The 24,016-nt window shown below is 37.9% G+C and overlaps 1 protein-coding gene across 4 annotated transcripts in view; it reads right to left on the bottom strand.

Annotated features, from left to right (window-relative positions):
* Positions 1-24,016, bottom strand: part of VPS41 (VPS41 subunit of HOPS complex) — a 186,218-nt gene that overhangs the window by 16,636 nt on the left and 145,566 nt on the right. For all 4 annotated transcript variants that reach the window (XR_007060008.1, NM_080631.4, NM_014396.4 and 1 more), the window contains 9 exons: positions 23,846-23,938; positions 18,745-18,872; positions 17,229-17,373; positions 15,286-15,327; positions 15,093-15,143; positions 12,567-12,704; positions 5,950-6,004; positions 3,793-3,933; positions 2,376-2,512 (listed from right to left, as the gene is read on the bottom strand). Coding sequence is in view for 3 of the 4 variants with exons in the window: in NM_080631.4 (NP_542198.2) it covers positions 2,376-2,512; positions 3,793-3,933; positions 5,950-6,004; positions 12,567-12,704; positions 15,093-15,143; positions 15,286-15,327; positions 17,229-17,373; positions 18,745-18,872; positions 23,846-23,938 (930 nt within the window). In the remaining variant the exon portion in view is untranslated. The remainder of the gene's footprint in view (positions 1-2,375; positions 2,513-3,792; positions 3,934-5,949; positions 6,005-12,566; positions 12,705-15,092; positions 15,144-15,285; positions 15,328-17,228; positions 17,374-18,744; positions 18,873-23,845; positions 23,939-24,016) is intronic.

Here is a 24,016-nt window from a genome sequence, read left to right on the forward strand (position 1 = left end):
ACCTGCCCCCGGAGAGCATTTTCTGACTGCATTCTCCAACAAGATGCCTGAGCTCCAGTGGGGACTCCAGATGCAGCAGCTTCCACAGGCTCTGCTGCCTTCCCTGTTCATCTCTCCCTCACCCTCTGAGAAGCCACCCCTTGGTTGGGGGATTCACAGGCAACCACAGCTTTTTGGACCCACTAGCTAAATAATTCTGAACCTCCTTAACACATTACCGAACTACATACTTACATATCTTAAGGAAAAGCTCTAATTAAGAAAAAATATTTAGTAGCTTCTTTAGTAGATATTTTTATGTTAGGCATTCATTTTGCATCTAATAATAATTTCATTTTTATTACCAGCTGACTCAGAATGATGCAAATTTATTTATTAAAAATGAATGAACACTGAGATCACAGTGGTGCCCATGAGCTTGGTTCTCTGGAAGAATGACCTAGTCATAGGGATGCACTATGTGGTCTTGCAGTCATTGCGGAGGCTGGCGAAAAAGAAAGGCACAACTTTTAACCTAGTGCAAGCTTCTTGCACTACAGCTGAAAGGCAGAGGGATAATTATTTACTACTTCCCTTGGGGGAGGGTTGTTCAGAGACACCTAAATGACTTCTCATCAAATGTGGATTTGAAACCTAGAGCATATCCTGGCATGCCTGGGGTTGGTAAGGGTCAATGAAGTAAAGGTCATTATCAAGCTCACTCACACTCAGAGGCTTATAAGTTCTGATACTGAAAACACTTTCACCAAAGCCCAATCTGACCTTCAAAATTAGTGACTTCCCCAGGCAGGGACGTCACCTTTCTGGATTCCTAGGGCGTGGCATGAAAAGCCAGCTCCTCACCTCACCTCTCTTTGCCTATTAACCCATTCCCATATTTTTATTTCCTTCTTGACTTTCTCATTCTCCTTCCAATAACCTTTCTCCTGGGTCATCTGCAAACCTCCAAATCCCACTGGAAATATATGCCTATATATCGTTAAGCTTTTTGCGGAACAGGTAATCTACTTCTTTGGCTTAACGAATACCAATTTCTCTCCCATGAACCCAATTTCCCACAAAGCTCTCCGGAGTGAAGGCTGCATGATCTCTCACACCCCCACCCCCATCTTTAGACTTCTTCACTTTTAAAGTCGTGTTGTCCAGTTAATACTACTGTCCCCTGTGGAGAAGCTGGAGCCTGGCTTAGAGCACCTTGTTTCTTCCTCCTGGCCTTCATGTCCATTAGGATGACTCAGAAAGGCTGTGGCCTCAGTTTCTCTACTAATTCTACACAAATGACCTTTACCATCATCCCACTTTTTGAACACGTATACACCATGACTCCGCTTCAGAAACATTAATGACATCACACTCTCTGGCACAACCTCTTGTCCCTGCAGCTCTGCCATCCCTTTCATCTCTTACATCTGTTTTTGATGCCACCAATGTTCCTGCAATATCTTCTCCTTTCCACCCTGCCTCTTACCTAAGGCTGTCACCCTGAGTGCAGGCAGACCTCTACTTTGCAACCTGCATGGTGAATCCTGGCCCAATGGATCTCACATCATAATGCTCCTCAGCTAATAGCCTTTTCTTTTGGCTTTACCTGCAAAAATTGTTTCTAGGAAAGTAATTTCATCCATTATTAATAAAACCTCATTTTCAAGTAAATTAGAGGAAGAACAACAGTCCGAATTTTTAAGGAAATGTTTTAATTCAAGTTCTATAGAAGTTACCAGCATCCTGAAAAATAGTAATTGCTAGAGTCTTTTTAAGGAAAAGATTAAGATGCTTTGTAATTAGTATAATAATTTATATGAAAATAATGAGTTCCACTGTTCTTATGACAAATTCTGATTTAACAAGGATAATAAAGTTGCACTATTCTAGAAAACAGACAAAAGGTTAAATAAAATCCTATATTTTAACAGCTTTCAGGCAACAGACTACTGAATGGCTTCAAGAAAAATTATTACCTTACTGAAAAACATTTTTGTTAATTCCCTCAAACGGATACAATACTTATTCTCCCTAAAAATGTTGGGGTGGCCCGATCTAATGGCCACTATAACTGCTTTCATACTCGCCTCGATTCCATGTTATATTAACCATACAAATGTAAGAATGTCTGCTCAAAAACAAGTGAAAATTGGAGATGGCTAAAGAATCAAATAGCCTTCTTAAGGCCTTTAAGGTATTACTGGACAACGCAATTTTAAAGGTGATGTTTCTAATTACTCTATTTGAACAGTTTTCTAAATATCTGGGCCTAAATAAAATGTAACCATAAAATCGAAAGTTTTTAACTGATACCTAACATAAACCCTAGAAATATTTATCCAGTACTAAGTCAACTAATTCAGATGCTCATTTGTCCAAGAAAGGATACTTACTTGCAAATTGTAGTCTTGCAGAATTTTAACCAAGGAATCTCTCAAATTGGGGATCTCCATTCCTTCCTTAATACGGTGAATCAGTAGAATTGGGTCAACATGTGTGCCAATGTTGTTTAACAAGCCAGTAATAAATGCTACAAAATACCACATAAAACAATGAACATATAAGCAACATTATAATGCAATTTTATTTGCACATAATTTGCATATAATGCAATTTTAGATCAAAAGTAACTCAAAGAAAAAATTATTTCCTTCAAAGTAAGTGTTAAAACCATTTGAATTTCTAAACTCTTAAGAATTAATCTTCTAAACTTCCAAGAACTAACGCTCCTTAAGACATGAAGGAGAAAGTAAATAAGAACTGTTTTAAAACAGTTGAACAAATGATTACTTGCCTTCAAAATACAGTTTTTAGCATCAAATGGGTGTAAATAATATTTATTGACAACTGACTATGGCTCAGGTATCATATACACTTTCCTCAAATACTGTGCAAGGTAGGAATGCTGTGTCCCCATTTTACAGACAAGGGAAATGGGGTGTTTAATTTTTCCAGGGTCACACGGCTAATAAGTAATGTGCCCAAATTCACTCAGGCCAGCCTCAAGTTTATGATATGTTCTGCCACATCACTTTGCCTCTTGAGATCCTTAAACTACTACTTTATCTTGCTAGTTACAAGTGAGATTCTTTATATTGTCAAGAGGATAGTTATTAAAGTCAATTTCAGATTAAGGTAGTTACATGAACACAAAGACTTCCTACCAAACTTAAAAAAAAAAAAAAGGAAAGAGGAAATTTCAAATCACTACTGCTAGTTATTTTCAAAAGAGTTGGGTTTCTGTTAGGTGACTGCTTTTGTTTTTTCCTTTCCAAAATGGGAGACCCAATGCAAACAGTCAAGCTGAGGACCAACAAATACAAACTCTGGGTGTTGTACTGATAAAAATAGTGCAGGAAAGAGGCTAAATACTACAACACAAACATCCAAATATCATCAATGTCCAGAACAGTTACATGTTTCCAAAAAAGACTGGTAAGGTCTATACACTTAAACTATAAACACTCCCATATACAAGCTAAAAACAAAAAAAAACCACACCAACACAACCCAGATGACATTTATTCAATTTGCTTGCAGCAGGTAAAAATATGCCTCATGGGGACACAATTAATAAACTGTGTAGCCACCTGTTCTTCATCACATGCAGGTAATGCAAAGTGATGAGGCTCCAGGTTTTCCAGCACAGGAGGAGTATTGGAAATCATTACAACACACCTGGCCTATTTTTATTGTAGGTACGCTACCATTTTCTTAACCCAATGTATCTTGAAATAGTTTTTAATCTAGACATAACTGGTTACACTGAGAGAAAAAAAAGTTATAACCAGAGATGGCTTTTATGCTTACGTGGTTTGTCAATGGAATATAAAATCAAATCTTCCCACAGCTCTCCATCATCTTGCTCCTTGGCAAATTCGATTGCTTTATCAACATCATGTAATTCCTCCATAATCATCTTCAGGGCACTTCGGCTATTACCCATTCGGCCTTGGTGGGGTGAAGATGGGAGAAAGAGTTCATTTAAGGTATTTTAATAATTTTTTTAAAGAAATTGCATATCTCTTAATTTGTTTACATAGGTGGAAAGCTAAGACAAGGCTATTTTCTCATGTGACACCAACATTTACTGTCTATAACATAGCAAAATAAGTATCTCCTATTTACTGGATATTTACTCTGTACTGAGTACTCATTTAAGTGCCTCATATAAATGACATCATATAACCATCACTACAACCCTATGAGGCATGTTCTACTAATATTCCTCTTTTATAGAAGAGGAAATAGAAATGTTAGTAGCTTGCTAAGATCATACAGCTACTAAATAGTACACTGTGAATTTGAAGCCAGGTCTGTCATACTCTGACTTACTTTTGATAGACTTATATATATTCTGGAGGTCAATACCTTCACATGCAGATACACTTAAAATGTTTAAAGGCCCTAAAGTCATTCTGCCTCATGAGGTAGCTGTGCATACTGCTTTTCTGATACACTTTGTGCCAACTGCAAACTCAACTATCAGAGGGCTTCCTCATTTTCTTCTCTCCCACGTTCAGGGGAAGGCCTTTCAATAACCCTCATGAGATGAAAGTATTTATCAACCATGCCTTCTATTGGCTAATTGTCTTTACATACTTTGCTCACTGACCTATGGCATTTTAATAGTTTAAAGTTTTCCATGAGTTTTTAATATAGTGCATGTAAGAAAGCCTTACTCAGTGGAGGGACAACAACTGCCTGGTTGTAGGTTGTCACCCTTACCCCTGTCTCTGGGCTTGCAGGAACTAGTAAAGGATCTTGAATCCTTCCCCCTGCACACGGCCATTATCAACTGATAAAAGCTGGCTTGTGAATGAAATGATATCCCATTTGATACCCCTTCCACAGCATTTTGTGTTTCTTACAAATATTATTTCCACAGTTTATGTCTCTAAAAATGGTTAGTTATTTAAAAATGTTTACAGGATTATCAAGTTTTTATAAAATCAGACTATATGTCCCTAATAAGTCCTCTACTGCTTCTAAGACAATATGACAAAAATTTATTCCACCAAAATATTTCTTGGGGAGAACACTGTTTGGAATTAGTGAATTGATGAGCTACCTAAAATTGTGATTAGAACCCCAGGAACATGCTGAAGTAACAAAATGCAGCCCCAAAAGCACTTCTCCTAAGAAGGGCAGGTGCTATAACTGGACAGTTCTGGGTTTGTGGCTGAGCACCCATGAATCTGCATACACATAAAAGGGAATAGAGGATTTGGATTATTTTTCAACAGAGGCAAAGAGGCCAATGAGAGTGAGTGCTGTATAAGGGAAAGGCGTAAAGCGGAAAAACCCTACTGAGGTCAGCAGGGAAGTGACAATGGAGAAACACCAAATATGAATGTTATGTTATATGCTACATTATGCAATCCTCAGTACAACCCACATTGTTGTCATGCACGTGGCTCATTTTGGAAGAATGTGAAAAGATGACAAGTTTTGTTTCTTGGTATGCATGGTACAAAAATTGTGACTCATGTGGAGGTAGGAGCCAGAAGACCAGGAACACTGACACCTAGATTATATTAAAAAGCTCTCCTCCTTCTCCAAAACTATGGTATTCAATTGCATTTCCTCTAGTTATTTAGGGTGTGATTTCTAAAAGTGATTATTTATTTTCTACCAATATGATGGTAATATAAGCTGATTATAATTTTTTAGAAAATGAAAAAACTTGTCAACTCATCTACAACTTAATCTATGTTGTGAGGTATAAACTGATAAATTTTGATATGTTGATTATACATTGCCAATATGTTATTTCAACATTTATGAAACAACTCTTCCTTCTTTACTGTGCTGTGAAGTCTGTTTCATATATTAAATTATTGTAAAAATAGGCTCATATTCTGTGTTACGTTGGTCTAAAACCTATGTCCTTTCTTACACAATTTACTTCATGTTGTCATCCCATTTCTTAGTTTATGGGGACCAAAATGAATAAAAGCTACTTACTCAGAAGATAAACTGTCTCTTCTACAAAGTTTCTCTGTTGACAGATCTCAAGAGCCTTCAATTAAAGCAGGGTAAAAATGTTACTATAGGCGACCAAATAAGAACAAACAGTAATAAAGTCATTTAAACTTACACTTGAAAGAATTTTTCCACAGCTTCTTTAAAAATAAAACAAAGCAAACAAATAAAGAACACATCTCCCTAGAATAGCTGCACTCAGTTACCTCTCAGAGGTACTGGACTCTACACAATTCAATTTAAAACATATTTGAAGCTACTCAGAACATTTCATGAGCAAGAGTAGAAAACAAGACACCAAATGAAAAGAAAGGGCCTTTCCCACTAAGCTTTCTCTCTTTACACTACTTCAGGTTTCCTTACAGCACTGCTTCCTTCCAAATCTGTAGTCATTTGTTTAAGCTCTGTTTCCCTCCATTAAGATGTAAGGAATGTTGCTCATGGTTGAACTTTTCCTAGTATTGTGCATACCATAAGCTCAGGAAATATGAATTCATGCTGCATGAATGAACGAATGAATGATTGAATTTACTAGGAATATTTGTACTGCCAGATCACAGGGGCTGAAAGAGAACTCTGCTCAAGGATCTGTCAAAGGTGAGAAGGAAAAAACACTTTTGATGATCAAGAAGGATCCAAAAAGGAGCAACTATGCAGATGAGAGCATTTCCATTAGTCTTAAAAAAAAAAAAAAGACCTACTATATATTGATAAATTACTTACTAATTCTAAATTAATCAGGATACATTTACTATATTCTCTGTGCTGGGTGCTAGAGGGTCAGGTTAGATAGAGATGCAAAGATGACAATAATAAAAATGTTAGTGATGATTATAGGTAAGAGGAAAACAAAGAAGAGAATAATGGAGGAGGCTTAGTAGGAGCATTAGCAGCATGAGTCCACCCCCGGGAGCTCAGGGTCCAGGAAGTGACAGAGATGTGACAACGCATTATTCCACGATTAGAGTAACATGAACAAAGGGCCATGTGTACAGAGGAGGGACACTGAAACTGTGTGGTCCTCTTGTGAGAAGCTTCAAGGGGAAGTGGCATCTGAACCGGGTGCAGTATGATGAATGAGTGCACCTGGGAAACCTTATCTCATACCCTGCCTACAAAACTTTCTATTGCATCGCTCCACTCAGACTTAAAGCTGAGAATCTCTACCACGACTTACAAGGCATCCACAACCTAGCCCTTAATTTCTGTGCAGCTTCACCTGCCTCTGCTCACCTCTCCATTGCGTCCCCTTGCCTGAAATGCTTCCCTTACCCTGACTCTCCACTATTGGATGGCACTACCTTACGTCATGAGGTCAAGGTCACCCAAGGTGGACGAACAAGAGGAAGGAGCCCCGGTCTCTGACCCCGCGGCATGGTGCTCTCAGCAGGGCCACTCCACCAACACTTCCACGTGACAGAAAAAGAAACTGTTGCTCTGTTAAGCCACAATTATTTTGGGATTTTTATCACTCACAGTTGAATCTAATCCTAGCTAATACCGAGAAAATCTTCCTTTATTTTGATTAAAAATATGGTTTACCTATTCCTATATGGTCTTGCCTGTCAATCACCATTGTAAATGATGAAACTTTCTTACCAACTCTTCACTCTCCTGCAGTGATACTACTGCAGAGACAAAAAACATAAGTAAGAAGTTAAATAATAAAGCAAAATAGTGCAAATACATCAGAGGACACGGGATTCAAACAAAAAACCACTGAGAAGCCAACTGAGTGCCTAGATTTGTTCTGGGTGTTAAGATACAGATAGTTTATAGTTGAGTGGGACTGCCATTCACAGATAAATAGAACACTGTAATACAACTGAATAAGGAGAATGTTTAGAGAAAGATAGTCTGACTAATGATAAGCATTTATGCTGCTTAAAATAATTTATTATTAAAAGGTATCCATGAATCAATTCTGTACTTGGAAATTCACTTACACACTTTAAAATACCATTCAAGATTTCAGACAGAACCATTACCCATTTTCTTCTGCACATGAGAATGCTTAAGAACATGCTAGTCTCAAACCACAAAAGAGTTTGCAGTTTGAAGCCTCACCTGAGTTATCCAAGACAGCAGCCACTTGCTCTATGTGTCTATTTAAGTTTAAATTGATTAAAATTAAATTAAATTGAAATTCAGTTCCTTGGTAGCAATAGCCAGATTTCAAATACTCAATTGTGACATGTGGTTGGTGGCTACTATGTGGGACAGAGTAGATTATAAAACATTTCCATTGCTGTAGAATATGCCATAGAATAGCAAGGCTATAAGATCCTGTATATACTTTCAAAAAGGAAGTCATGTGGGAAGAAATGTCTGAAGGTAAGCTGAAGTTAGGAATGACACGGAATGTAAGCAGATGAGTATCACCAAGTTCAAAGATAATTTGAGTCTCTGAAATTTCAATTTCACATAATTTTAGATGTTTCATGATGAGTTTCTAACAGTATCTTAAATTATCCTCTTCTCACAAATGAGAAAATGGACTTTAGAAATCTCTAGAAATTTTGAGTAAAGTATAAAAAGAAAGCATTTAGATTCTTGAATGTTCCTGGACCATGGTGCTCCCTCTAGAGGAAACAGTAGGGAAACTAAGATTTTTAAAGTAGACACACACAACACATGCGCGCGCGTGCGCGCACACACACGCGGACAATGCAGTGAAAATAGAAGTGAAAAATCAGAATAATAATAGAACTTGAGTAAAAAATGATGCAAAAATAATATTTTAATTCTCCTCTTTCTGATTTAGTATGAAGGTAAAGAATGAAGTTAGAAAACTGAGGGTAACTAATAAGAACCTTATCAAATGTAAATTAAATAATTATTTCTACCTATCCTTGATCTCGTCATCTTTTATCCAATCTTCTCTTTAAATTTCTTTAATGAAAATCTGCAAACTTGGCATCTCTCAGCTTTATTCTTCCGAATTCAGAAATACTGCCACCTTGTGAATACTATTAGATATGAGAGCGATCACAAATTCCGGTATAAATCTGCTGAACTATAAAACTGATGATCTGCTCTTAACCACTCTAGGCACAAGCAAATCAGATTTGCAAAATGAAAACCAGTGCCTGATGACCACATCTGTAAATTACAGGACAGTTTAACAGTTAAAAAAAATAATCTTTCATGATTCTTGCAATACTAGGAAATATCTTATTTCCATTAACTTTTTAAACCTGAAAATGATTCCCCAACATAGTGGAAAAAATACAGAGCCTAAAATTAAGTCATCCAGGTTCTAAGTCTTGGTCCCTCAACTTATTAGCTCTAGACTTTAGGCTTTTTTCCAGCTCCCTAAGACTTGGCTTGTCATGTATAAAACGACTCTATCCACCTAACTGCACTTTTGTAGAGATTAAATAAAACAATATACATGAAGGCACAACATACATTATAAAGCACAAAAGAAATACAAATAATTTTTATTATCTTTAAAAATTGCTGTAGATATTATAAATTCCCACAAACTCTGTATTTCCTTTAGAACAAACAATTTCATAAAAGTTTATGATTAATTTTTGAATTTCAGAGTCGTGGTGATTTTAAATCCTGAACTCTGGCCTTTGATAACTATAACTAGGGCTTTTGATGTGACGTCAGGATCTTTCCAAAGTTTTGGGCCAAATACTATTGATTGTGGGATTTCAATCAATTCAAAATAAGGTTAACCTAGATTCTTGAAGATTTCAATCAGTTGCCAATCTGAAATCACCTCCTCTCAACAATTAGCCAATTGTTGGCAAAGGAAGACAACCAAAGGAAAGACAACCAAAATTAGAAAGATATAGTGTCTTCCCAGTAAAGGAAGACAACCAAAATTAGAAAGATATAGTGTTCTGCCAGAGGTAAATTATAAACAACAGTGGATCAATGGGTTCTGAATATGCCTTTGAAAGCTTAAACACTTCTCATTTAAAGTAGAAACAAAGAACAAAAAATCCTCTTGTACCAATAGGACTCAACAATCTCTAAATTCTAAGGAAGCAGACAGAAATTTCTTTGGGGAAAGGGAGGCTTTATAATTTCAAAGTTCTCAATTTCATATTCAGGAGAAAAAGAGATCACATTTTCTATGAGTCGCTCTTTATACAAAACAGGCAGACAGGTATTCCGTGCCCTTTACTAGCAAGCTTGGGATGCGTTTAATTGGAGAAATCCACTTTGTCATTCGCAAATTGGTACATACGATAGCTTTTCATGTCACATGTAAACATAAAAGGGATTTGTTTCTAAGATGACTGAGTATATACAGAATTCTTTCTTATTATTCTTTTTTATTTATTTAAAGAGAGTTTTGCTTTCTCGCCTAGGCCGGAGTGCACTGGTGCAATCATAGCTTACTGTAACCTCAAACTCTTGGGCTCAAGACTTCCTCCTCCCTCAGCTTCCTGAGTAGCTATGAATACTGACTGGCATGTACCACTACACTGGACTAATGTTTTTATTTTTGTAGAGACAGAGTCTTGCTATGTTCACCAGGCTGGTCTCAAACTCCTGGCCCAAAACTATTTTCCCACCCTCAGCTTCCCAAAGTGCTGGGATTAGAGGTGTGGGCTACCACACCCAACCAGAACTTACTTTAAGGAAAACGGAGTGAGAATCTTGAGTTAGTAATACTGTCATGAACCTCTCCTTTAAGACAGCTTTGGGTACCTGATAGGGTAGAGTGCTATGTTTTCTACAAATATACAGATTTCCCACAATAGGTCCTGACAAACAGATAATCTCTTATGAAGAAGTCTCAGTAACCTGAAACATGAAAACCCATTTAGGGAGTCCTAAAAATATGGATTACTACTTGATTATCTTATAATGGTCTGTTTCACCATTACCACCTCTAATCCATGCTCAAAATTCTCTTTCAGTGGGACACGAGATAAATTTTTAAAAATAACTGTGTCTAAAACATAATTGGTTTTACTATGCTTGTGCTGAGTTCTTTTACATTCAATATGTTGTTTCCAGTGGACCAGAGAGAAAAATTCTACAAGGTCTACACAAATGCTCTAAGCAAGCCATATGTGTAGGAAGCATCACATGCAGGTCTGCAACATTCTGCTGCTCCCTACTGGGTGAAGCAGGGTGTCTTCCACTGAGTACTACTAGACCCGAAAACTTTAAACCAGGTGGGCATAAAGTGTGTGAGAGATATAGAGATACTGGAACCTGGGTGGCGCCTCTGCATCTTGTGCTTAGGGAATGGGAAGGGCTGTTAATCACCCACATGTGACCTCTCTGTCTCAGAGGTCAATGGGAGACTTCAGGAGACTGCCACATCCTCTCTGAAATATACAATGTTCTCTTGAAAAGTGAGAAACAAATGAAGGAGCACTGTTCAAAGAATAAGATTCTCACTCTATTGCCAGGTTATAAAGTCCTATGTTGAGAGAAGAGGGTAGTATCTGTTTTTACTTTTAGAGTAAGATAATGAATTTCCAAATTAAGTCCTCAGAAAATGTCTTAGGGCCCCAAATATAAAATGCTAATGTCGTTTTATAAGTTAACAGGCAGGCAAGATTTTTTTCAATAATTGTGGACTTTAAAAATCCATTGAGCTAAATTGGTTCACAGTACTCCAATGCATTTAATAATCATGGGCTAAGGAAGCATACACGGAAGTTGTAAGTGTACATAAACTGTGTTATCATCCAGCTTCTTTGCACATATCTCTAATGGGTCAAATATGTTTTTTATTTTGTTGGTCCACACAGCTGACTTTCAAAAGTATCTGGCCATCCAAATTTAGTCAGACATTTGTAGATGTTAGTGGTAGATGGTATTGAGAACTGTAGGACATAATACTGTTGGCTTTTAGGCTGCCCAGTTGTTAGCACATATATAGTTAAGTACTTCAGTTTATTTTGAAACAGCAGTCTCATAAAACTTACTAGTCCTTATTTAGCCCGAACTAGGATCTTGCATGTATATAATTTATTCATTCATTCTCTCACTCATGATGCAACACACATTTAGTAAATGTCTAATGTGTGGTGGGTACTAGATTTACCAAAATGAGTAAGACAAATTCCTTGTCTTTGAAGAATTTCCAGGAGACAGAGACTAGTAAGCAGATAATTATAGTGGAATGTAGGATGTAGGAGAAACAAAGAAAAACATAGGGTAGACACTTAAAGAAGATAGGATGCAGGACCTAAGCTATGACCTCAGTTTATCAAACCTGATTCCTGACTGGAGCAACTGCTTCTGGCTTAGGACAGTCTGTGTCTCCCTCCCAGGCTCTTGACTCTGAGGTGTCACTCTGATCCTGGGAGATGGACTGAGACTTCTAATATATCATTTTTGCCTGATGGTTGATTAAGTCCTAGACCCTGGATTAAGCTGTTCTTCCAATTAAACCTGTCACAGAAATGCTTCAGCTCTTCACCAAAGTCTAATCCAATGAGATCTCCTTTTCTTGACAGAATGTCCCAGCCAAAAACCTACTTCTTTGAGAGCAACAGTCTTCCCCCTGGAAAGGGACAGATGAACAGAGATAGAAAGAGAAGAAAGACAAACAACTTACCATCAATGACAACCTCTTCATCCAAAGTGTACAAGTCGGGGAGTCTGTGCCTTACCTTTTCAAGTGGGCAATGGGTACTGTCTCGGAGAAAGGGAAGTAAGTTTGGTCGATCATATTCAGCATAAAGACTGATCTGTTTTTCATGGTAACGCTGCCCCTTATGGTGGTCTCTCTTGAAAAGCTTATGCAAATACTAAAAGGAACAAAAGATAAGCCGTGACCCATTAAAATGAGAAAAGCAATACCTGGCTAACATTGCTATTTTTAGCTCTAAACACCTCCCATGGACAGGTTGGGGGAGAAGCAGTCTTCAGGGAAAACCTCTAGGTGATGGAGAAGTGGAAAGGAAAACCCTTTGGGAGAGCAAAGGATTCCGATAATTTCTCTAGAAGGGCCCCAAAACCTGACTCTGCCACGTACCAACTGTGACCTTAGGCAAGTCACTAATCTCTCTGAGACTCAGTTTATCTACAAAAATTTTATTGAGTTACTGTGACAATTAAACGAGTTGCCATTACGAAATCACTCAGAACCAATGAACTTAGCATACACTAAGAACTACAGAAATGTTAATGACAGTAGTTGTCAATATCATCATTGGTATCTGCTTTGGCTCAGAAATAAAAAGATGAGTGGTCTTCCCAGATCATAAAAATTATTTTACACAAAAGAGGGTAGAGTCCTGGGACAAGCACATATTCTTAAAAACTCAAGTAGCGGGCACTAAACTCATTTCCATACATTCTGCATCTCCTCTTTGTTGACTCTTCAAATGAAATGCTGCCTAAACTGGTAACATCAAAAACAAAAATACAAAGTAAAAATCAAGAAGAATGCAGGTGTTCTGAAACAGTTTTCAAAACTGATTCCTTACCTTAGCTGTCTGAAAAAAAGTTAACTTCACAGGAAATCAGTAATTCACTTTCTCCTCACAGGCAAGATTAAGTCTATCAATACAGTACTCAGAAGTCAAAAAACAATTCAATGTTTAGTTAATATTAAATGTAAACAAAAACCCCACAATCTACTGAAGACAGGAAGACTTAATCACCAATCCCACGAGCATTAACACCTTGGGTTGCTGTTTCCAAGTGGATTGGTTTATAACAGACATAGAGCACCAGCCGCCCTGCAGCTGAGACTGTAAATGCGCTGATGTTTGTTATTGCTGTTGAATCTAGTCACAATGACGCCTAACCATGGACACATGCACCTTAAGAAACCAATCTTCAGGCTTCCTGTTCACTTCTTCCTAAGGCAAAACGGAGCAGTACAAGCAGTAGACTGAACTCATGTGCCAGGCAGAGGTCTGATGAACACCACCGCCAGTCCACTGGCACTGGGGTCAGTGTGTTAGCGGGGATATGTGGTGCTGTTTCCCAGAGTGCAAAAAGGACAGGGAGGCCCTGTCACATGAATGCTGAGTCAAATTTATATATATAGAAACAAGACATTGCCTGGCAGGGAAGATGAGCCATGTTAGTGTGGGCTGTGCCACCACTTCACCATTGCACTGATTACATTGTCGCACAGAGAGCTACTGCCCATAATCCTGTCTCCTGGCTTAAGTAAGTCAGAAATCACTGCTTTATAAATGAATTCCTAAGGTGGTTAGCAATGTGGAGCCTTGCTTGGGAAGCAGATAATCTTGAGATTTCCAATCATGAACAATGCAGCAGTAGCATCTGAGCAAAAGAGAAAAAAAGGTGCCTCTCATTCCCTTCCTGCAGTCTTCAAAAGCTTCAAAGCAGAAAACTGACTTTTGAAAAAAATGCTCTATTCCCTAAGCCTCCTCCTAGGGTGCAATGAGATGGGCAAAGATACAAGTGCACTTATTGTATCTGATACCCATAGTCCTACTGATATAATCCCTAAGTGTGCTAAGTTTTCTCTTGTATAACTTTTAAAGGACATAGAAAACAACTATTCCTGCTTTACTCTCATGATGATGCAATGCAGAGAATTGAAGTAGCCCCCCAAAGAAATCTAGAATAACAGGCCTTAATTACACAACCACCAATAGCACACAAGAAATATGGAATTAGCTATTGTCATGGTGAGGGACAAAAGAAATGAGACTCTGCCCTTTTATCGCTCTGTGGTCTGGATATGGAATGGTTGTCTGACATTTCCTTAGCAGGAGAACTTGGTACAGTATCTGCGGTGCCATACTGGCCTTTACTGTGATATATGCCATGGTTATATTTAATGGCAACTACAGAGGGAGAGTGCTTATTCCTAGACACAACATAACACAAAAACATTCATTATAGTTAAATATATAGTTATGTTACATATATTTATATTATAGTAATATAATAGATAGATTGGTAACTTTTTTCCATCACAATTCAATTGTGGGTCAAAATTCAACTGCCTGATCTACAATTAATCCCTGACCTTGAATTCACAGCATATGCTGCATTTTGGTAATTACAGAACATTGTTTGTGGTGAAACCTCCAACTGGAATATTAACCTCCTTGAAGAATTCACTCCAGTATCCTCCTCGCACCAATACTGAAAGGTGATTCACCCACTGGTCAATCAAAAGGGCAAAAGGAGGAGACTGCCATGCTCACCACATGCTGTAGCTCTGGTCTGTCTTCCAATTCTTCCACTACCTTTTTAATCTAGATAAAAAAGAAAAGTTTCAAGGTGGAGTCATGAGGACAGAAAGACAGCTACAAAATTATCTGATAAACTCTCTTCTTCACAGCTATAGGAGTCCCAGACGTTCATCTGGTAACACATATAAAAACAAATGACACTCACTGAAATTTTATCTTCATTGTCCAAAAGCATGTCAACAGCTTTCTGAAACATATAAGAAAAGCCACAGTCAATGAAATCCGTTATTTAAGAAGAGAAGACTAAACACAATGCAGTGTACCTACCACAGTTCACAGGTGGAAGGCTTATTTTGTATACTTAAGGAGGCCCTTGGCTTTACAATGGCTCTTATGGAAAATGACATTTGTGAAGAACTGCATTTTCAAATGCATCTCAATCTGAAGCCTATGTGTTTTGCACACTACTAAAATGGTGCTTTGCTATAACTTCCCAAATACAAAACATCTTGACTGCCCATATCCTAGCCCCCCGCCCTCCGATGTCTCGGATACCTTCACACCTTCTCATGAGACTCTCAGTAGTTATGGAGAGCATCTCTTTACCAGTATATCAAGAAAATGAGCTTTTCTTCCAGCTACTTCAACCTCGACCTAGTCTCCCTATGAGACTCCACAGACAGAAGGAGCTGGTTTTATGAGGAGAAGGGAATAAGAGTCAGAAAGAGAATGAGATACCTGAAGTTTCATAATGACATAAAGCTTTTGGACTTTCAGAATTTACTTTAGCCACTTTTATCATTCAGGAAACACAAACTAGACAGTTTATGTCAAGAGGAAGAGGGAAAGCAGCACACCAGACTGAGCCTCACACGGAACACCTGGGGGCCCTGTTCTAGACTCTGCTACGACCTAGCTGTCTGCTCCAAATGTTACTTTTGTTCTCTGAAATACGAGGGTGTTGGAGTAGATTATCCCTAAGGTCTCTTCTAACCAGAAGACTCTGATTCCTTACATCTGGATCACATTCTAGAATAGCAATTAGTTTCAGCTCATTCATCTTTTTTCCACAGGAACATATGCAAAACGAGCTCTGGAGAACAATGGAAGGGGGTGCATGAGGGGAGACTAGATATGAGGAAAATGTAATTAATTTTTACATAAGCATCTCATCCTCTGCCAGACAAGCAGAGCCTCTCTACCTGAACTTCCTTGGAGCTACGTAATTCTTCGTAAATCTGTAGTCCCTAAAGACTTGACTCAGTATTTTAAAAAGGGCTAAAGCATCTTTGAGAAAAAGACGTAGCTCTAGCTCCTATCTAAATTAAGTTTAAGTTGGTGGAGATTAATATAGCACACAATATCTCTAAATACAGTACAATATAATTGAAAAATGCATTAATCCTTTTGGAGCCTTTAGGGTTCTACTTTTAGGTTTATCTAAAATTTCAATTTTTTGAATAAGAACACTGTTTTATAAACCTCATTATTTCTGTCATGAGCACTTGTAATTAGATTTCTTTTACACACACACACACACACACACACACACACACACACAGCTTGCATCACTTTGCAAGCACCAATGTGAGCTGTGGCTGGGTCCACTCATTAGGGGGCGTAAATTTATTATTAGGTTATTCAAATTTGTCACACAATAAAATAACATTCCACATGTCCTGGACATGAGCATCACCTCAAACCAGGGGAAACCCCACATGCTGGATACGTGAACACCAAGAAATAAAATAGTAATAAGTCGGTCAAGATGGAAGTTCACTTAATTTTAAAATTCTGGAAAACAGGTTAGGAGGGATAAATGAGTCAAAGTATATACGTGGTTTGTTTCTATAAATTATATGAATTGTTTTAGCAAGAAATTACTTTATATGCGCACACACACAACTTTAAAAGTTCTCTATCAACTTTGAATTGCTTTCACAGAATAACTACATTATGAAAAGGATTCCTGAATGCCAAACAACTAGAATAACAACATCTAGCGAGGGTCAGAGTGTTCTAAAGATTGTCGGCATAAAGCCAAGTTATGTGATTCATTCACCAATCCAGCATTTGGATAGATATCTAAGTATTAAATATTTGGAATAGTAAAAATAATTGACAGTACTAAAATAAAAAGCACATTACCTCTGAATCAAAATCCATTAATAAAACAATTTTATCCTTGATAGAACTGAAAAGATTATGCTTGTGGATCAACTGAAAAACGTCTTTATGTCTTAATGTTAAGTATATTTCCAGAGCATTGCCATAGTTCTTGTCATAGGTGTACCTGGTAATACAAATTTTTTACATTAATATTCATCAACAGTTCTAATTAAAACACACACAGAGAGATCATGGTTCACAATATTAAAAATGGAAACACTCCTTTAGAGAGAAAAGTTAACTTTATTTCAAAAAATATTCCTATTTTTGAATAGGATTTAACTATACACGACCAATAAGTATTTCTTTCTCAGAACTTTGCCTCTCATGTTGCCAAAATTTAAGAAAATTCACAATATTCAAGTAATAAAAATGGTCTTTATTGGGGGTCTCAGTCTCAAAAGTTTTACAAACATCCATACAGCAAAGAAACTAGGATCCAGGATGAAGTTCTCATTTTAGTAACAGAAACATCCGTTCCAATTCTTACAAGCAGTATTCAGCTGACAAATGGCTAATATTCCAAAAGCTGATTTTAAGGGGGCTGTGTCTAACTGAAATGTGTTTTTCCATTGAAACAATGTTTTTCACATTAAGTCCCTAAGTCAGCTCTTGAGAGCTCACTGAACTGAAGCTGTACTGTTGGTCCATTACGAACGTGCTGCAGACTCTAAGGGGTATCTAACAGGACAACGTTTCCAAGAGAAAATGATTAGCATTTCAACTTAGAATGCCATAAACACAACCTCCTCTTGTGGAAAATCCAACACGTCCAGAGTTCTAGGTCATTTTGGTATACCTTTTTTGGTTTTGGGCAAAAGAAGAAAAAACAAGGGAGAGGAGTGGCCTGAGGTGATGGGGGCACTGAGGAGAGGTGGATGCAGGGATGGTCGTCTTGGCTAGACCTGCAGTATACTTCTTGTTTCCCTAGATCGAAGTACTTGAGAGCATATCTTATCTATCTCTGTATCATAAGCGTCTCGCACAAAGCCTGCATCACTGAATGTGCCCAAGAAATATGAAAAATATTAACCAAGCTGCCATTTTCTGAGCCCTGACTCAGGGTCAGGGAGTCCTCTATTATGACATCTCTTTTAAAGTTTAAAATTTTCCCATAAGGAATTGACATTTGAGAGATTAAATTAACTGACTTGAAGACCCTAGAAGAGCAGAATCCAGAGCCTTGCTCATTGGGAAACTGTTATGCTTGAGTGATCTAAAACTTGGCACCCTTTTGTTTCCTAACCACTGCCTCTCCCAAGCGCTGTGCGTTAGGGGTTCTCTTCTCTGGGAAACAGATTACATTGCAATTGTACAGTTTCACACATGTCCTTATCGCCTACTCATTTGAGGTTTATGAGAGGTTTTTACTAAGAAGGAATGTAGGAAAATGGTATAAAATACATCTTCTCCACTTGGAGTTTGCCAAATCTAAAGTATGAAAAACTTTTCAACACAGACTGATATGGAAAAAGAAACACTTAAGTATACTCACAATTCTGCCAGGGTTTTAAGTAAAGTCTTGTTCTGACTATCTTTCTTCAAATGATCCCGAACTGCTTGAACTATGACTGAATTATTATACAGATCTCCAGGCCATTCTCGGATCAATGTGGCAAAACCCTAACCAAAGGTGAAAAACAGAAAAAGAACACTCATTCAACAGAATAATAGTTGTGATATTGTGAAATATACATTTGGTCCTCCTTCTGTTTCCTGGCATATAACTCTCAAAATCCTTAGAATCTCTAAAATGATGTGTCTTCTTGTATGCTAATGAGCTGACTGGTGGCTAGCAGCCCCTAGGTAACTTAAGGATGGGGTTGGGCACAGGATAGACTGAGACAGGATTAAAGGGTTGGAACTTTTCAGCCCTACCCCCACCCCTGCCCCACAACCTCCAAGGAGGGGAGAGGGGCTGAAGGTTACACCGATCACCAATGGCCCAGTGTTTAAATCAATCATGTCTAAGTAATGAAGCTTTCATTAAAACCCAAAAGGAGTGGCTTTGGAGGGCTCCCCAAGAGCTGAACACCTGGAGGTTCCTGGAGGGTGGTGCACCCAAAGAGGACCTGGAAGCTCCATGCCTCTTCCCACATACCTTGCCCTCTGCATCTAATCCATTTGGCTGTTCATCTGTATCCTTTGCAATATTCTTTATAATAAACCAGTAAATGTAAGTAAAGTGTTCCCCTGAGTTCTATGAGCTGCTCTAGCAAATGAGTCAAATCTAAGGAGGTGGTAGTGGGAATTCCAGTTTATAGTTGACCAGTCGGAAGTACAGGTGACAGCCTATAACTTGTGATTGGTATGTCTGAAGTGGGGGCAGTCTTGTGGGCCTGAGCCCTCAGCCTGCAGGAACTGATGCTATCTTCATGTAGACAGTGTCAGAATGAACTGAATTAGAGGACATCCAGCTGGTGTCCACTGCAGAACTAATTGCTTTCTTGGTGTGTAGCGGAAAAACCCAGATATTTGGTCACAGAAGTGTTGTGTTGTGAGAGTATAGCATGAGAAACTGAGTTTGGTTTCTCCTAAATTCTCAAAACAAACCAAACAATTTAAACCATCCCTAAAAGTATTCACTTTTAGTCACATAACAGACCAAACAATTATATGATTAAAAGTTTGTTCAATAAATATTTCATCAATTTTCAGACTATGGGTCTGGGTGTGGTGAAGAGTTGCAGGGAATATTATTGTACAATAAATCTCCATTTAGCATTCCTGGGAGGCAGGTCGTGCCATCTACTTCTGTCCTTAGTTTTACGAAATGTACAACTAAGAAAGCTATCTTGTTCCTTCTATAAAGTGCATGGACAAGAGTTTAGGTTGGACTTGCCCCATCCCCATTCTGGACTAACTGTAACATTTGGATGACAGCTTTAACAGCTTACAGATATTACCCAAGTCAGCTACTTTCCCCACCACCAAGAGTCCTCTAATGCACTTAGGCCTGGGCTGCTGGGTGCAACTGGTTATGCAGTTGTGCACTGTATAGCCAGCACAACTGACCGTGGCAGTCTGCTTGGGACAGGGCTGCTCCCACAGTGAAACTGTCCAGCATTCTATATCTTTAACAAGTCACCATCTTGGTCCTCCTTCCACTTTGGCTTCTAATGCCAGTTTTATGTTGGAATTTGAGACTTTGGCTCAAGTCTTATCCCCTGGCTCTTATCCTGGCTATCTCTAGATCTCAAATTTTGTGGTTCCCCGATTTGATCCTGTTTCCGTCCCACAGCTGATTCTGGGCCAGTATCTTGCTCAGTCTCTACTCCCTGATTCCCGACTTTAGACTTCATGTTTTATAACTCAAAGTATGACAGAGCAGTTTACTTACTGATCCTTGACAATGTTTAGAACAAAAACATGTTCATAAGACAGTAAAGAGAATTAAAAACATCCACGTTATTAAATGTGAAAGGAAAATAAATTCTCAGGACCTCCAATTCACTAAGCCAAAGGGAAAGTTAAGGGAACTGAGTCATGCAAAAATTGCCTTCCTTTTGTTCCCAAACAGAGAGCTGTCATTTCACATGCTTCCTTTAGCTCATGTCAAAGCTAGATCTACTGAGCAAGAGATGAATGCATAATTGACTTTTTCCCCACTTCTCTCTTTTTACATGTAAAACGTAGATTTCCTGAGCTAATCAGAGCATCACTGGAATGTGACCAAGTGCCTCATTGCTTACTCTCCCCCTACTTATTTATTTATTTATTTTTAAAATTTGCTCCTTTGCCTCCTGCTTGCTCTTTCCCCTTTAAATTTTGAAGTCCTCAACAATCTCTTTGGAAAAAGCACAGGACACAGACCCTGTTTCTTTTCCCCAAGTATGTCCCTAACCTTGGCAAAATAAACCTTAAAGTCGATTGAGATCTGTCTCAGTCACTTTTTGGTTTATATAAAAAATAGTACATTATTACTATTAAATAACTCCATTAATACTTTAATGAACTACTGTGAATTTGTTTAAATAATACTTAGAAATGAAAACAATGTGATAGAAGCTGCTTCTGTAATGCACCAGGATTTGGTAAGAAAAGTGCAAAAGAATCAGTAATATAGTTTTCATTAAAGTTCCACCCGATTTCTACCAAAGTAGCCCCTGGAAGGATGGCAAGAGACCAGAACAAAAGACCACATATTTTCCATTTAGATTACAAACTTCTTATATATTAATATGATTGAAATTTTACTTCAGAAATTTGGGAATGGATTCAATCAGAACATTAAAATGTTTGTAGAACCAAAATAATATTTCAGATCAAGTTTCTTTCTTTTCTTCCTTCTCTGTTTCCCTTTCCTTGTCTTTCCTTCCTTGTCCTTCCTTTCTTCCCTCCCTCCCTTCCTTTTCTTTCTCTCTCTCTCCCTCTTTCTTTGTTTTTCTCTCTCTCTCTTCCTCTCTTTTTTTTTTTTTTTTTTTTTTTTTTTTTTCAGGTGGTGTTTCGCTCTGTCGCCCAGGCTGGAGTTCAGTGGCGCTATCTTGGCTCACTGCAACCTCCGCCTCCTAGGCTCAAGCAAGTCTCTCGCTTCAGCCTCCCAAATAGCTGGGACTACAGGTGCATGCCACCATGCCTGGTTAATTTTTGTATTTTTTTTTTTTTTAGTAGAGACGGGGTTTAACCATGTTGGCCAGGATGGTCTCCATCTCCTGACCTTGTGATCCGCCCGCCTCAGCCTCCCACAGCCTCCCAAAGTGCTGGGATTACAGGGGTGAGCCACCACACACAGCCTCTTTCTTTCTTTTTGTGAGAAAGGGTCCCACTCCGTCACCTAAGCTGGAGTGCAGTAGCATGATCACAGCTCACTGCAGCCTCAGCCTCTAGGGTCAAGTGATCCTCCCACCTCAGCCTCCTGAATAGCTGAGAGTACAGGCATATGTCACAGCACTCAGCTAATTTTTAGTTTTTTATAGACAGGTCTCACTATGTTACCCAGGCTGGTTTTGAACTCCTGGGCTCAAGCAATCCTCCCACCTTGGCCTCTCAAAGTGCTGGGATTACAGATGTGAGCCACCGTGACAGCCCTGTTTTCTTAAGACTATATAAGATAAAATAGTCTGTAAAGATTTCTACCCCAATACCAGCAGCTCACAGTAGCCCCTAGACCATTAATAATAATGCTCAGGGAAAGAAGAAAGTTTGGCCTCATTTTTTCTTTTCCCTATCATGCAACAGCCTCATGGTACTGCCAACTTCGAACACAAAATAAAGACAAAATAACCAGTCATCTTGTATGATAAAAGCATGATGACCCCACCATAAACTGAAATAAACATCTATCATATTTCATGTTAGGCTTCTCTCTGTTCAACTGGCTTTGTGTACCCTTGAATAAATGTGCTACCCAAGAAATATTTATAAAATCTATCTGTGGCCATTATTACTAATTAGAGGACACAGGAACAAGGGACCTGTTATGATTGAATGAGCAAAGTTATAGAAAACCTCAGTACCTATCATAATAAGTAAAAGTCTAGAAAGTACTCATGAAATGAAATGCCACAGAAATCATCCAATTTTTAACATGCTTATATGTTTGTCGTTAATATTAAACAAAGCTTAACTGTTTAACTCTGCTGGGTCGTAAATTAATAGGCAAAGCTACAGGCATATGACTAGAAACCCCATACAAAGAAGTCATGAAGCATCTTTACCTCCAATATTACTTCATGTCTTTTTAGGGAGAAAAAAATTGACAAGTCAATATTCCAGAGAAGTACAGTTTGTTTTTTGTAATCTGACCTTCAGTGCTCTGTTTAGCAACACAAAATGTCTCTCCACATAATATGTGATCAAAAGTGTTGTTAGGGAACACAGCTATTTGACTGATAATGTGACAATTTAATTCAAAATTAAATAATTAAGCTGAGAATAAGGGAAGGTAAAACATGAACTATTTATAAGAGCTTATGAAAATAAAAACAAATTATTTACAACCTCCTTAACAGTACTGACCAGACATACATCCTAAAACATTCAGGAGAAAACATCTACAATCTCTAAGGTTAAGTCATGCTTCTTTCCATCTCAATAAAAAGTGTTCCAGATATGAAATCAACAGGGTAACTTTGACGATAAAGGATTTTTAAAAGTTTCATGAAAAAATAAGAGTTCAATCATGTGCAATAACTGTAACAGAATCATAAAAACAATAAATTTTTTTAAATGCTTAAATTACATTACTTTAAAAATAGGAAAATTATAACATACTTCAGCATTTGTAAAGGAAGTTTGTACTCTTCTCCATCATTTTCACAGAACACTCATAATTCTCTTTCTTCTGGGATGATATCAAAGATGGAATAGCAGCTGCTATTGTATTTATGAAATCTACAAAATAGCACTTAGCTCTTTTTCTTTAGTTCTAGAAAGAAGGTAACTTTAAGGAATTCCTTAAAATGCACACGGACTAAGTGTTTTCACTGTCTACATAAACATGAGTTATACTGGAGTTTCTCTAGCTCAGTTTCACCTGCCACATGCAAACTACAAATCTGTTTCCTTTACAGGCATTGCTCCATTGTATTCCTTTCTAGATTTCCTAACACCTCCCATCGAGAACAAGTAAATATGACCACATCAGAACACCATACCTCATAATCACTCTCCAAAAATTCATGTAAGATCATTTCATAGATGAGTGGTTTCAGAACTGGATCACCTCTTGGCAAATAAGGACTAATAGCCTAGGTAAGGAAAAGGGAAAAAAAAGTCCATTAAAATATGAAAAAACAAAACTGCATTCCAATTATGCAGAAAACATA

Source organism: Homo sapiens, chromosome 7 (assembly GCF_000001405.40).
Source record: "Homo sapiens chromosome 7, GRCh38.p14 Primary Assembly".
NCBI lineage: Eukaryota > Metazoa > Chordata > Mammalia > Primates > Hominidae > Homo > Homo sapiens.